Here is a 15,627-nt window from a genome sequence, read left to right on the forward strand (position 1 = left end):
GATGGAGTCTCGCTCTGTCACCCAGGCTGGAGTGCCATGGTGCAATCTTGGCTCACTGCACCCTCTGCCTCCCAGGTTCAAGTGATTCTCCTGCCTCAGCCTTCCAAGTAGCTTGGACTACAAGCATGCACCACCATGCCCAGCTAATTTTTGTATTTTTTTAGTAGAGACGGGTTTCGCCATGTTGGCCAGGCTGGTCTCAAACTCCTGACCTCAGGTGATCCGCCTGCCTTGGCCTCCCGAAGTGCTGGGATTATAGGCGTGAGTCACTGTGCCTGGCCAATACTTTTTTTAATAGACAATTTTTTAGAGTAATTTTAGGTCCACAGCAAAATTGAACAGAAGGTACAGTATGTAGCCTTTTCAGATTGGCTTCTTTCACTTAGTAATGCACATATAAGTTTCCTCCAAGTTTTTTTATGAATAGCTCATCTTTAATGTGTGTGCTGAATAATATTTGATTGCCTTGCTGCACCACAGTTTATTTATCCATTCACCTACTAAAGGGTATCTTGGTTGCTTCCAAGTGTCAGCAATTATGAATAAAGTTGCTGTAAACATCTGTGTGCAGTTTTGGTGTAGACATAAGTTTTCAACTGTTGTGGGCAAATACCAAGGAGTGCAATTGCTGGATTGTATGGTAAATTATATTTAGTTTTGTAAGTAACTGCCCAACTGTCTTCCAAAGTGGCTGTACTATTTTGCATTTCCACTAGCATTAAATGAGCATTCCTATTGCTCCACATCCTCTTTAGCATTTGGTGTTGTCAGTGTTCTGGATTTTGGCCATTCTACTAATAATAGATATGTAGTAGTGTCTCATCATTGTTTTAATTTGCATTTCCCTGATGACGTATGATGTGGGGCATCTTTTCATATGCTTATATATTATCTGTATATCTTCTTTGGTGAATTGTCTTTTAAGGTCCTTAGCCCATAACATCAGGTTGTTTTCTTAGCACAAGACTTTTTAATAATTAAAACTTTTAAAGACTCTTTAATGTCTGGTTGGGTAATTAGCATTTAGCATCATTATTTTTTAGTAATGACTTTTATAAAATTAATGGTATACTTGAAATGTTTGGCCAAACTGAGTTGTCCTTTTCAGCCTCACCAAACTTTTATTGTTTTCTTGTAGTTTATTCTTAACAAGTTATGATAAATATAAAATAAGTGTTTTTTCTTTTTCCTTTTTTTTTTTTTTGATAGTCTTGCTCTGTTGTCCAGGCTGGAGTGCAGTGGCATGAACTTGGCTCATTGCAACCTCTGCCTCCTGGGCTCAAGCCGTCCTCCCACCTAAGCCTCCTGAGTAGCTGGGACTACAGGAGTGTGCCACCGTGGTCAGCTAATTTTTGCATTTTTTGTGGAGACACAGTTTCACTATGTTTCCCAGGCTGGTCTCGAACTCCTGGGCTCAAGCAATCCGCCCATCTCGACCTCCCAAAGTGCTGGGATTACAGGCGTGAGCCACCATGTCTAGCCTGTTTTTTCAACTTATTCTACATAAGTGGTTAAATACTGACAGTTATTTTCGTTTTCATAGGCATTTAATGTTTTCGCATTTGTTGGTTTTGGCACTATTTTGTCTTAGAAGTAAATTTGTCTTAGAAGAAAGCAATAACATTACAGGCAGTTCTTGATTTAGACATAGATTGTGTCTGACAAGTTGAATCAGATGATTTAAAAATAAATTTTCTTAATATTTTTATATTCGGGGGTACATGTGCTTGTTTGTTACATGGGTATTACATGTGTAATCAGGTGATTGTTTTGATGAGGGAGAGGAGGCATTCCAATCACCAAATAGCCTTCATAGACTCAAAGATTCCTGCACCAAGACCATATTTAACACATAACATTGTTGAAAAGTAGCTGACTCATTTGTAATTTCAAGTAGTTGAATTCTACTTCCCCCTACCTTCCTGAGATAATGATAGCTGCCTTGCAAGAAAAGTTCCACACACACTAAAAACATGTTTCTACCTTTTGTCTATTATTGACATGGCAGCAATTGCTTAGCCCCTGTTGGAAAGGCACATATATACTTGAGGCATATTTCTCACTTTTGGGGAACCTGTCTCTACCTGTGTTTATTGCAGGGTATTGGTATTTTTCAAGCATTCTCTCCACACCACTCTCACCTTTGGCTGGTTTTACTTTATGACTTTTGCACACATTGCCCTGTTAAGTTAATCCTTTTGAGGTTATTGTTAGCTTTGGACTCCAGCCTGAATTGGCTGTATGAACATAGACAAGTCTCAGCTTTAGCTTCCTTAATTTTAAAAGGAGGTTATGATTCTATTTACGTAGCAGGATTGGTGTGAGACACATGCAGTGCTATAGGAATCTGAAGCATCTGTATTGTTATCATAGGACAACTTATTTGTAGAGATGCTATGACTACTCTAGGAGTCACAAAAATGACCAGTGAAGTACATTGCCTTTTAATTTGAATGTTCTGTTCTTTTTTGACCTTATTACTGTGTTTAAGTATTACTACCTAATCTTTTAGGAATGGTCAAATAAAAAAAACTGTTATTTATTTTATTTTTTTTCCTGAGATGGAGTCTCACTCTGTCACCCAGGCTGGGGTGCAGTGGCGTGATTTCAGCTCACTGCAACCTCTGCCTCCCGGGTTCAAGCGATTCTTCTGCCTCTGCCTCACTCTCCGAGTAGCTGGATTGCAGGCGTGTGCCACCATGCCCGGCTAATTTTTGTATTTTTAGTAGAGACGGGATTTCACCATATTGGCCAGGCTAGTCTCGAACTCCTGACCTCATTATCTGCCCACCTTGGCCTCCCAAAGTTCTAGGATTACAGGCGTGAGCAACTGTGCCTGGCAAACATACACCTGCCTACTTCAGTTGTTTCATCTGGAATCTTAGTCCTCTGTTTATATAATACTGGTTGTTTGATGAAAGAAATTAGACACTTAGTATTTTGGAAACAAGTTAAGTAATAAGATTAATTTTCATTTTAAAGGTTTATACAATTTAAAAGAAAAGGATGAATTATATAAAATAATAGAGAAGCTAATGCTTTCCCCTTTTGTTTTCATTTTAGAATGTGGTAGCAATTTTAAATAAAAGTGAATGGGTAGGAAAAAAATTAATTGATCTGGAAATACTATATAGATACCTTGAAGGCAACTAGTTGATTGTTATTTGCATAGCTAGAAATCATCTATTTATTTAATAAAATAAGCACGTTTTTATAGCCTTGGTATAATAAAATGGGTTATTTGGGCTTTTTATATATATGAATTTATCATTGGTCTTACTTATTGAATTATTTCAGTTTCAGTAACTTTTCTCTTAATTTCTACGTACTTTGTATTTTTTTTCTTTTTCATTTCCCATTAAAATGAGTTGGCTTTATGAGATGAAATAATTTAGGCCTACAATGAGTATAGGTAGTCCTATGACATACCTGTGTATTTACTACCCAGCCTAAGAAGTTAAACATTAAATATATAGTTGCATTTCCCCTTTGTGCTCCTCTCAAGTCACTCCTCTCCCCTCTCTCCCCTCAATCTGTTGAATTTGGAGTTTATCATGTCTGTGCACATTTTTATATTTTTACTATCACAACTATATATGTGTGCATACAAAAACAATGTATAACATTGTTTTATGTTTTTAAACCTTTGTATCCTTTTTTTGGACATAACATCAACATTTTATTTTATTTTTTATTCATAAGCATTGTTTTCTTTTGTCTTGCATATTTTAAAATGTATTAGATGGTATCAAACTATCACTTTGTCATTTGCATTTTTCTTAGAACATTGTTTTCTTAGAACAATGTTTCTTAGAACATTTTTCTTAGAACATTGTTTTCTTAGAACATGCATTTATTTATCAACATATATTGATACATAAAAATACTTCTAGTTCATTTGTTTTTAAAATTATTTTGTGGCACATTATAATTATTCATATTTATGGGGTACAATTTGATGTTTTGATACATCTACATGTTGTACAATGATCAAATCAGGGTATTTAGCATATCTATCACCTCATACATTTATCAGTGCTTTGTGATGAGAACATTCAAAAGCCTCTCATCCAGCTATTTTGTAATGTACAATACCTTACTGTTAACAATCCTCAACCTACTGTGCAATAAAAACACCAGAACTTATTCCTTCTATCTAAATGTGACCTTGTAGCCATTTACCAGACTCTTTCCATCCTTCCCTCCCCAGTCTCTGGTAACCACTGTTCTACTCTATGACATCAACCATTTTTTTTTTTTTTTTGAAATTCCACATGAGCAAGATCATGTGGTATTTGTCTTTCTGTGTCTGGCTTACTTCACTTAACATGATGTCTTCCAGGTCCATCCATGTTGTCACAGATGGCAGAATTTTATTCTTTTTTATGGCTGAATAGTATTCCATGTATATATATACACCACATTTTGTTTATGCATTTATCCATTGTCGGACATGGATTGATTCCATATTTTGGCTATTGCAAATACTGCTGCAATAAACATGGCAATGCAGATAATCTCTTCAACATACCAATTTCATTTCCTTTGAATAAATACCCAGTAGTGGGATTGCTGGATCATATGGTAGTTCAATTTTCAATTTTTTGAGGAATCACCATACTGTTTCCCATAGTGGCTATACTAATTTACAATCCCACCAACTGTGTATAAGGGTTCCCTTTTCTCCATATCATCACCACCCCTCTTTTCTTTTGTTATTTTGATAATAACTGGAGTGAGTTGGTATCTCCTTGTGGTTTTCATTTGCATTTTCCTGGTGATCAGTGGTATGGATTGCATCTGTGTCCTGGCCAAATCTCATGTTGAAATGTAATCCCCAGTGTTGGAGGTGGAGCCTAGTGGGAAGTGTTTGGAACATGGAGGCATATCCCTCATTAATGGCTTTGCACTATCCCCTTGGTGATGAGTGAGTTCACATGAGATCTGGTTGTTTAAAAGTGTGTGGCACCTCCCATTCTGTCTCTCTTGCTCCCACATCACCTTCCACCATGAACAAAAGCTCCTTGAGGCTTCACTGGAAGCTGAGCAGATACTGACACCATACTTGTACAGCCTGCAGAACTGTGAGTCAATTAAACCTTTTTTCTTTATCAATTACCCAGTCTCCTTTCTTTCTTTCTTTCTTTCTTTCTTTCTTTCTTTCTTTCTTTCTTTCTTTCTTTCTTTCTCTTTCTTTCTTTTTTTTTTTTTTAACTGACACAGGGTCTTGCTCTTTCACCTAGTCTGGAGTGCAGTGGCCCAGTCACAGCTCACTACAGCCTTGACCTCCTGGGCTTACGTGATCCTCCCACCTCAGCCCCCAGGTAGCTGGGAATACAGGTGTGTGCCACTACACCTGGCTAATTTTTGTATTTTTTGTAGAGACTGAGTTTTGCCATGTTGCCCAGGCTTGTCTCAAACTCCAGGGCTCAAGCATTCTGCCTGCTTTGGCATCCCAAAGTGGTGGGATTACAGGTGTGAGCCACTGTGCCTGGCCAGGTATTTCTTTATAGCAATATAAGAGCAGCCTAACACAATTAGTGATGTTGAGTGTTTTTTCATGTGCTTGTTGGGTATTTGTATGTCTTCTTTTGAGAAATGTCTATTAAAGTCTTTTGGTCATTTTTAAAAAAATTTATTATTATCATACTTTAAGTTTTAGGGTACATGTGCACAACGTGCAGGTTTGTTACATATGTATACATGTGCCATGTTGGTGTGCTGCACCCATTAACTCGTCATTGGAAACAATTAACAAAGTAAAGAGACAATCTACAGAATGGGAGAAAATATTTACAAACTATACATTTATCAAGGGGTTAATATCCAGAATATATAAAGAACTTAATGACCACAAAATAACCTGACTAAAAAATGACCAAATGACGAGTCTTATTTTGTGGTTGTTAAGTTCTTTATATATTCTGGATATTAACCCCTTGATAAATGTATAGTTTGTAAATATTTTCTCCCATTCTGTAGATTGTCTCTTTACTTTGTTAATTGTTTCCTTTGCTGTGTAAAAGCTTTTCAGTTTTATGTAATCTCATTTGTCTACTTTTGCTTTTGTTGTCTGTGCTTTTGAGGTCCACTCAAAACTTCCTTGCTAAGCCCAGTGCTGTAAAGCATTTCCTGCATGTTTTTTTTTAGTAGTTTCATAGTTTCAGATTTTATATTTAAGCATTTAATCCATTTTGAGTAGATTTTTGTATATGATGAGAGGTAGGGGTCTAGTCTCATTTTTCTGCATGTGGCTATTCAGTTTTCTCAGCACCACTTATTGAAGAGAGCAGTGTGTGTTTGTTATGGTTTGGATGTTTGTCCTTTCCAAATCTCATGTTGAAATGTGATTCCCAGTGTTGGAGGTGGGACTTGTGGGAGGCGATTGGATCATAGGGGAAGATCCTTCATGACGGGTTTGGCACCATCTCCTTGGTGATAAGCAAGATATGGTGGGGGGTTTTTTTTGTTTGTTTTTGTTTGTTTGTTAGTTTGTTTTTCACCATCTCTTACAGGAAGGAGAAATCTGGTTGTTTAAAAGATTCTGGTACCTCCCCCTGTCTCTCTTGCTCATTCTCTTGCCATGTGACATGCTGGCATACCTTCGCTTTCTGCCATAATTGTAAGCTTCCTGAGGCCCTCACAAGAAGCAAATGCCAGCATCATGCTTCTGTATAGCCTGTACAACCATGAGCCCAAATAAATTCTCTTTTCTTTATAAATTGCCCAGTCTCAGGTATTTCCTTATAGTGATGCAAAAATGGACTAACAGTGTTCTTAGCACCTTTTTTTGAAAATCAGATGGCTGTAGGTGCATGAATTTATTTTAGGGCTCTATTCTGTTCCATTGTGTATGTGCCTGTTTTTATACCAATACTATGCTGCTTTGATTACTATAGCCTTGTAGTATATTTTCAAGTCAGGTAGTGTGATGCCTCCAGCCTTGTTCTTTTTGCTTCAGATTGCTTTGGCTATCTGGGGACTTTTGTCATTCCATATGAATTTTAGGGTAGTTTTTTCCTATGTGAAGACTGTCATTGATATTTTTATAGGGATTGCATTAAGTCTATAGATTGCTTTGGGTAGTATGGCCATTTTAACAATATTAATTCTTCCAATCCATGAACATGGGATAGCTTTTCATTTGTTTATGTCTTCTTCAATTTCTTTCATCAATGTTTTATAGTTTTTTTTTTTTTTTTTTTTGGAGACAGAGTCTCACTCTGTCACCCAGGCTGGAATGCAATGGCATGATCTCAGCTCACTGCAACCTCTGCCTCCAGGGTTCAAGTGATTCTCCTGCCTCAGCCTCCCAAGTAGCTAGGATTACAGGTGTGCACCATCACACTCAGCTAATTTTGTATTTTTAGTAGCGATAGGGTTTCTCCATGTTGGCCAGGCTGGTCTCGAACTCCTGACCTCGGGTGATCTGCTCCCCTCAGCCTCCCAAGGTGCTGGGATTACAGGTGTGAGCCAACGCACCCAGCCAGTGCTTTATAGCTTTTAGTGTAGAGATCTTTCACCTCCTTGGTTAAGTTTATTCCTAAGTATCTTTTTTTTATGTAGCAATTGTAAATGGAATTTTTTTTTCAGGTGGTTTGCTATTAGCATATAGAAACACTACTGATTTTAATAAGTTGATTTTGTATCCTGTGACTTACTGAATTTATTTTTTAGTTCTGTTTTTTAGTAGATTCTTTAGGGTTTTCTGTATATAAGATCATGCCACCTGCAAACAGGGACAATCTGACTTTCTTCTGAAACTTTTTTTTCTAAACTATGTTAATGGGATTTATCCCTGTTGCTACTTGCAGCTCTACTTCAAGCTTTCTCATTCTCAGTGCTATAGACATTTGGGGCCAGATCATTCTTTGTTGTGAGGGGCTTTCTTGTCCATTACAGGATAATTGGCAGTATCCATGGCCTCTATGCACTAGATGCCAGTAGTACTCCCTTGCTGCACTCTGAGTTGTGACAACCAAAAGTGTCTCCAGACATTTTGAAATGTCCTATTGGTGGTGACATCACCCCTTCTCTCAGTGAGAATCACATTTCTAGTTCATTCATTTTAACTTCTATATTATGTTTCATTATAAATATACCACAACCAATTTTTTCATTTCCTTGTTGATGGACATCTAGATTATTTCCAAAGTTTTAACTATTAGCAACATTGTTGCAATGAGCATTTTTGTTCTTGTTTCCTTGTGCACATGTGTGAGACTCTGTCTAAGGTACTATGCTTAGGAGAGAAAATGTTGAGTTTTAATATATGCATATTTTCAACTCTACCGGCTATCATGAAGCAGTTTCCATAATTGTACTAATTTATACTCTAACCAACGGAACAAGAGAGATCCTGTTTCTCCATATCCTCACCGACACTTGGTATTGTCAGATTTTGAGATTTTTATCTACCTGATGGAGGTACATTATATTCCTTGATTACCACAAGGATCACAAATTGTGCAGATAGAGTTGTATCCAAAAAAGGATTAAGGCTGGGCGTGGTGGCTCATGCCTGTAATCCCAGCACTTTGGGAGGTTGAGGCGGGTGGACCACTTGAGGTCAGGAGTTCGAGATCAGCCTGGCCAACATGGTGAAACCCCATATCTACTAAAAATACAAAAATTACCTGGGGCCTGGTGGCATGTGCTTTTAGTCCCAGCTACTCAGGAGGCTGAGGCAGGAGAATCACTTGAACCTGGGAGGTGGAGGTTGCAGTGAGCTGAGACTGCTCCACTGCACTCCCGCCTGAGCGACAGAGCAAGATTCTGTCTCAAGAAACAAAAACAAAAGCAACAGCAAAACAAAACAAAACAAAACCCCAAAAAAGAATTAAATCTTACTGCATGATTATTGAGAATACAGGAGCCTTTCCCAAATTATAAGTGCTGATTATTTTAGGGGAATTTTAGAATGATGTTTGAGCTTCTGTGACCAGCTTTAAGAAGTGGTTTTGAACAATCAGACTTCATATGTGCCATGTTTTCTACTCAATTTCTGTAGTTTCTATTTCCAAACCAGAGATGATCATCTAGTCATAATATTGTTCTTCATCTTAGAAAATGATATTACTGATGGTGATTACCATCTCTACTTAGGGAATGGCTCAAAATATATTAATAACTTGAAGTTATTTCCCTCAGTGTTGTTGGATGCTTTTGTTCTCAGAGTCACTCATCACTAACAGCTGGATGCCAAATTTGTCTCTTTGATACTGTCGTTTCCCAGAAGCCTACATGTTTTTTCCATACTATATGAAACTGTTTATGATCTTACTCTGTTTTCTGAGTCATTTTGCTAAATGCAGTAGGATGTTACAAAAGATATTCCTGGTTTTGTACCTACCTTTAAGATTTAAAATGAAAACGATGGACATAACATATATAACAAAGTCAATTAGAGTTGTGTGTATATGTAATAAAGTAGTGAGAGTGAGATGGAATTCCTCCAAGGTTTCATGTGTAAAGTCCAATTTAAGTAGAGTTTTGAAAAAAAAACAATGCAGGTGAATTACGAAAGCGAAAGAAATATGTATTCAGAATTGATATGACTTAAATTAAGATGTAGTGGGAAAAGTGGCTTAATTAGTATAATTTTTGTTTGTGCTCACACATTGTGGACTCCTCAATACTTACTTCCTGGGTGAATTATCCAGTGCCTTTCTGCCTGACTGATCTCTCTCAGTTCCTCAGTAAGCCTGAGAGTTAGTCCAGTGCTTTGGTCTGGGACATACCCCATGATAAAACTGTATTTCAGTCTTACATTCCTAAACAGGTAAACTAGCCTTCACCTACCAAAGGTATTGTATTCTAAAAGTTTGTTGCCAATTCTGTTTGTTGAATTTGATGTTTTCCCATAAAACGATTTAGTCAACTTTGGTAATCTTGCAAGATCAGCCCTCAAAAGCCCCATTTGACCCATAAGATACAGGAGCAAGTCTGAGTTCTGTGTTCTGGAGGTAGACAGCCAAAGCTATAAGAAGAATAAGGAAGAGTTTCCTTTTTTAGGCTCAGGACTATCCTTAGATAAAATTTTGATAGGATCTGTTTGTTTTAGACATTCTTCTACTTCCATTTTTATACCCTTGTACTGCTTCCCACTGACTCCTCCTGGGCTCCTAATACCTTCATGCTTGCCTTAAGTACTCCATCCTGGACTCGCCACCTGAACTCATCCTATTTGTCCTTTGCTCCCAAACTTGCCTTTCCTGTCCTATCTGGGCTTTTGTTCTCTTGTAGTAACTGACCTTATGTAGGTATTAAGAGATATAATTCCAACTATCACCCCCCTGATTATCAAAAAAGAGTTTATATTTTAAAAAGAAGATACACTGGATGTTAAGACAACTGACCTTCAAAAAGTCACTTCATGGGGGAAAAGAGATATGGAAGGAGCTATTCTAGATTAAATGAGACAAAAGAGACATAAAACCAAATGCAATGTGTGAACCTTGTGAGGGTCCTGAATAGTAAAATTGGACTTCTTCAGACTTGAAAACTTGTACACAAAAGGACACTATCAAGAGAATGGAGGATTTGGGTACAAGCGGTTGAAAGATGGTTTGGCTGCTCTGGTCGGATTCTGCCGTCCCAGTGAGGCTGGAAAATAGGGTCTAGAGGCAGGAACATAAGGCTGATTCACACTTCAGCTATGACAGGAAATATCCTCTCATAGAGCATAGGCCAAGTAAATGATTTTGTAACTTTACTTCATCCTCTCCTTTTACATAGGGTGTACTCCAAGTAGAGGGTATTTAAACTCAAAAAAACTCTGTAAGAGGGCCTTTTGAGCCCCTGTGCTCAGGCCTGCTCCCATACTGTGGAGTGTACTTTCATTTTCAACAAATCCCTCCATTCCTTCCTTGCTTTGTTTGTGCGTTTTGTCCAATTCTTTGTTTAAGACGCCAAGAACCTGGACACCCTCCACTGTTAACACCAGCCCTTCCCTGTGGCTGACCCTGAGGTGTTATGAGTTTCTTCACAGCCCTACTTCCTCTCTCTTCTCCCTCATTTTCAGACCCTTCTTCAGCATCTTCCCTGGGCATTGCTGTGAGTTTAGGCCGGCCCGTTTTGAGCAGGAGCAGCAGCGGAACAGTAGACCTGCTGGAGGAAGTGGGGCTGCAGATCAGAGACACAGCATTTTCGTCAACCAAACTTCTTGAAGCCATATCTACAGTATCAGCTCAAGTGGAAGAGCTTGCCGTCAAATGTACGGAAAATGCACGTTTCCTTAAAACATGACGGGACCTCTTGAAAGAATGCTGTGATTCTTGGAAACCTGACAATTGATTTGGCATACTTAGCTCTTTGATAGTGACTGTGTAATAATTCATACTTCCTCATATATGATCATTTCACATGTGCCACATATATAGGATAATATCTAGCAGTTCTCTATATCTTCAGAATGAAGTTTTTCTTGGTTTTCTTGACCTTTGTAAAAGCAGAATACTGATTCTATTTTTGATGTTGATCAGTACTTGTTTATTCTTACACTTTCTGCCCTTCAAACTTTCATAAAATCCTTTACAAAATTTAATTTTATCAGTAGATAGTTAATATTAATTGTGCCACAGTGCTACCAGTAGCAAACTAAGTGGACCATTATTTGTTTTGCAGTAAGATGCCAAGCATGGCAGAATTAGAAGTTGAGCTTCATCTTATGGACCAAGGGAGATAACTTTAAGGTTCCAGCTCCATTAGGCTGAGTTCTCTAGGCAAATGATTGTCTTACTTACTTCGATATCCCCAGCACCTAAAACAGTGTCACATAGCATTCACTAAATGTTTATTGAAAAGAAGAGTTGATTAACATAATACAAAGCTATTTTTTCTTCCTGTATTTAGCAGGAAGACTATAATTGTTTCTCTAAAAATGTATGAATCAGGACTTTGTTGACTTGAAGGAAAATGTTATCTTTTTCACAGAGATTTTAACTTTGATGATAGCTTTTAAAAACATGATAAATACTTTTGTCCTCAAATGATTATTTTAAAAAGTCTTTTTTTTTTGAGACAGAGTCTCATTCTGTCTCCCAGGCTGGAGTGCAGTGGTGCGATCTTGGCTCACTGCAATCTCTGCCTCCTGGGTTCAAGTGATTCTCCTGCCTCAGCCTCCCTAGTAGCTGGGATTACAGGCGTGTGCCACCATACCCGGCTAATTTTTTGTATTTTTAGTAGAGACAAGGTTTCACCATATTGACCAGGCTGGTCTCGAACTCCTGACCTCAAGTGATCCACCCGCCTCGGCCTCCCAAAGTGCTGGGATTACAGGCGTGAGCCACTGCACCCAGCTAAGAAGTCTTTATTTCAGAAAATGAAAGACTGTCTAGAAAGAACGAATTTTTTTTCCTATTTATTTCTATGGTTACTGCTTTTACACTTAATATTTTTTGTTTTCGGTATTTTTATATGTTTGATTGCTGTCTTTAAAGTGCCTTATCAGATTTATGGCTCTGTACTATGAATTTTGGAGCTTTACAAGTTATTTACATAACTCTAAGTTACTTTGCTTCCAATACATCAAATTTAAATAACATGATTGTTTTTATATTATTTGACCTTAGTGACAATGTCCTATTTTATTTGTTCTGTATCTTATGTCGCTTTTTGGTAGTTTGTATTATGTGTGAATGATTAAGCCAACTAATTCTGTACCATATATAACTTCTGGATATCTTTGATATGACATCTTAATTCTTTGTAGATATGGTGATGTGTACAGAATGATATTCTGAAGCTCCACAATGGTGCATTGAAAGGCTGCAGATGGATGGCCAAAGAATAGTTTTGTTTAGCATATTAGGTCTAGTTCTGGACTTTTTTTTTTATACTTTAAGTTCTGGGGTACATGTGCAGAACATGCAGTTTTGTTACATAGGTATACACGTGCCATGGTGGTTTGCTGCACCCATCAACCCATCACCTACATTAGGTATTTCTCCTAATGTTATCCCTCGCCTAATCCCCACCCCCCGACAGGCCCCAGTGTGTGATGCTTCCCTCCTTATGTCTGTGTGTTCTCATTGTTCAAATCCCACTTACGAGTGAGAACATGCAGTGTTTGGTTTTCTGTTCATGTGATAGTTTGCTGAGAATTATTGTTTCCAGCTTCATCCATGTCCCTGCAAAGGACATGAACTCATCCTTTTTTATGGCTGCGGAGTATTCCATGGTGTATATGTGCCACATTTTCTTTATCCAGTCTGTTATTGATGGACATTTAGGTTGGTTCCAAGTCTTTGCTATTGTGAATAGTGCCTCAATAAACATACATGTGCATGTGTCTTTATAGTAGAATGATTTATAATCCTTCGGGTATATATCCTGTAATGGGATTACTGGGTCAAATGGTATTTCTAGTTCTAGATCCTTGAGGAATCATCACACTGTCTTCCACAATGGTTGAACTAATTTACACTCCCGCCAACAATGTAAAAGCACTGGACTTTTTTTTTTTTAAGTTAAAAGATCACACACAGGGTGTGATTTCTATACCAAAGATATGCTTATTTCAGTATGAGGAAAAATATTTTTCTTACATGTCCTGAAAATTGCAATTTTAAAAATGTACAAAATAAATTTTTATTAAAAGCAAATTTTATTTCAAAAAAAAAGAGTGAAAGACAACCAACTGGATAGGAGAAAGTATTTGAAAGTCATATATCTGATAAGGGATTAATATCCAAGAATATAAAGAACTCTTACAACTCAACAACAACAACAAAATAACCTTATTAAAAATTGGGTAGAGTGCTTGAATAGACATTTCTTCGAAGATATACAAATACCCAATAAGCACATGAAAAGATGCTTGACATCATCAGTAATCAGAGAAATGTGAATCAAAACCACAATGAGATACCACTTCACACCTGCTAGGATGGGTAGAATAAAAAAGATAATAGGTATCGGAGGTGGAACAATTGGGGCCCTTATATACTGCTCATGGGAGTATAAATGGTACAGTCACTTTGGAAAACAGTCTGGCAGATCCTCAAACAATTAAACATAGAGTTATTATATGACCCAGCAAGTCTACTCTTAGGTATTACCAAAGAGAAATGAAAACACAAAAGTTTGTACATGAATGTTTATAGCAGCATTATTCATAATAGCCAAAAGATGGAAACAACCCAAATGTTCATCAACTGACAAATAGATAAATTATGGTGTATCTATGCAGTGGAATATTATTCAGCCATAAAAGGGAATGATGTACTGATATGTGCTGTAACATGGATGAACACTGAAAACATGCTACATGAAAGAAGTCAGTCACAAAAGACCACATATTACATGATTTCATTCATCTGAAATGTCCAGAAGAGGAAAATCTATACAAGCAAAGTAGATTAGTGGTTGCCCAGGACAGAAGGCTTAGGAGGTGATGACTGATAGGTAAGGGGTATGTTTTGTTGTTGTTGTTGTTGTTTTTAGGTGATGAAAATGTTCTGAAATTGCCTGTGGTGATGGTTGCACATGTCTGTGAATATGCTAACAACTATTGAATTCTACACTTTAAATGTGCGAATTATATAATACGTGAACTACATCTCAAGAATGTTTTAAAACTGGTGTTGGGAAAACAGGACATCCACATGTAAAACAATGTATGTCAGATCCTTACCATACACCATGTACAACAATTAACTCAAAATGGATTAAAGACCTAAATATAAGAGCCAAAACTACAAAAACTCTTAGAAGAAAACATAGCAGTAAATATTCGTAAGTTTGAATGTGGCAATGGTTTCTTAGATATGACACAAAAAACACAAAAGAAAAAAGATAAATTGGACTTCACAAATTAAAAGCTTTTGTGATTCAATGGACACCATCAAGAAAGTGAAAAGAATGGAATACCGATACATTTTACACATCAATGTACCTTGAAAACATTATGCTAAGTGAAAGAATCCAGACACACAAGGACACATATTGAATGAATCAATTTATATGAAATGGCCGTATAGGCAAATCCGTAGAGATAGGAAATAAAATTAGTGTTTGCCAGGGGCTGTGAGTAGAGAGGAAATGGGGAGTGTTGCTAATGGACATGGGATTTCTTTTTGGAGTAATGAAAATGTTTTGCAACTACATAGTCATTATGGTTGCACATCCTTGTGAATGTACTAAAAAGTACTGAACTGGATACCTTAAAAGGCTGAATTTTTTTCATTTCTTCTAAAAAAAACCAGGATAGATGTGCAGAACGTGCAGGTTTGTTACGTAGGTACATGTGTGCTATGGTGGTTTGCTGCATCTATTGACCCATCCTTTAAGTTTCCTCCCCTCACCCCTCACCCCCCAGCAGGCTCCGGTGTGTGATGTTCCCCTCCCTGTGTCCATGTGTTCTCATTGTTCAACTCCCATTTATGAACAAGAACATGCAGCATTTGGTTCTCTGTTCCTGTGTTAGTCTGCTGAGGATGATGGTTTCCAGCTTCATTCATATCCCTGCAAAGGACATGATCTCATTCCTTTGTATGGCTGCATAGTATTCCATGGTGTATATGTACCACATTTTCTTTCTCCAGTCTATCATTGATGGGCATTTGGGTTGGTTCCAAGTCTTTGCTATTGTAAATAGTGCTGCAGTAAACATACGTGTGCATGTGT

At 37.5% G+C, this 15,627-nt stretch overlaps 1 protein-coding gene and 1 pseudogene across 3 annotated transcripts in view; both read left to right on the forward strand.

Moving 5' to 3' along the window:
- Positions 1 to 15,627, forward strand: part of ATP7A (ATPase copper transporting alpha) — a 139,703-nt gene that overhangs the window by 40,907 nt on the left and 83,169 nt on the right. The window lies entirely within an intron of this gene.
- Positions 10,942 to 13,615, forward strand: C4orf46P2 (C4orf46 pseudogene 2; annotated as a pseudogene).

This window comes from Homo sapiens, chromosome X (genome assembly GCF_000001405.40).
Source record: "Homo sapiens chromosome X, GRCh38.p14 Primary Assembly".
Classification (NCBI taxonomy): Eukaryota; Metazoa; Chordata; class Mammalia; order Primates; family Hominidae; genus Homo; species Homo sapiens.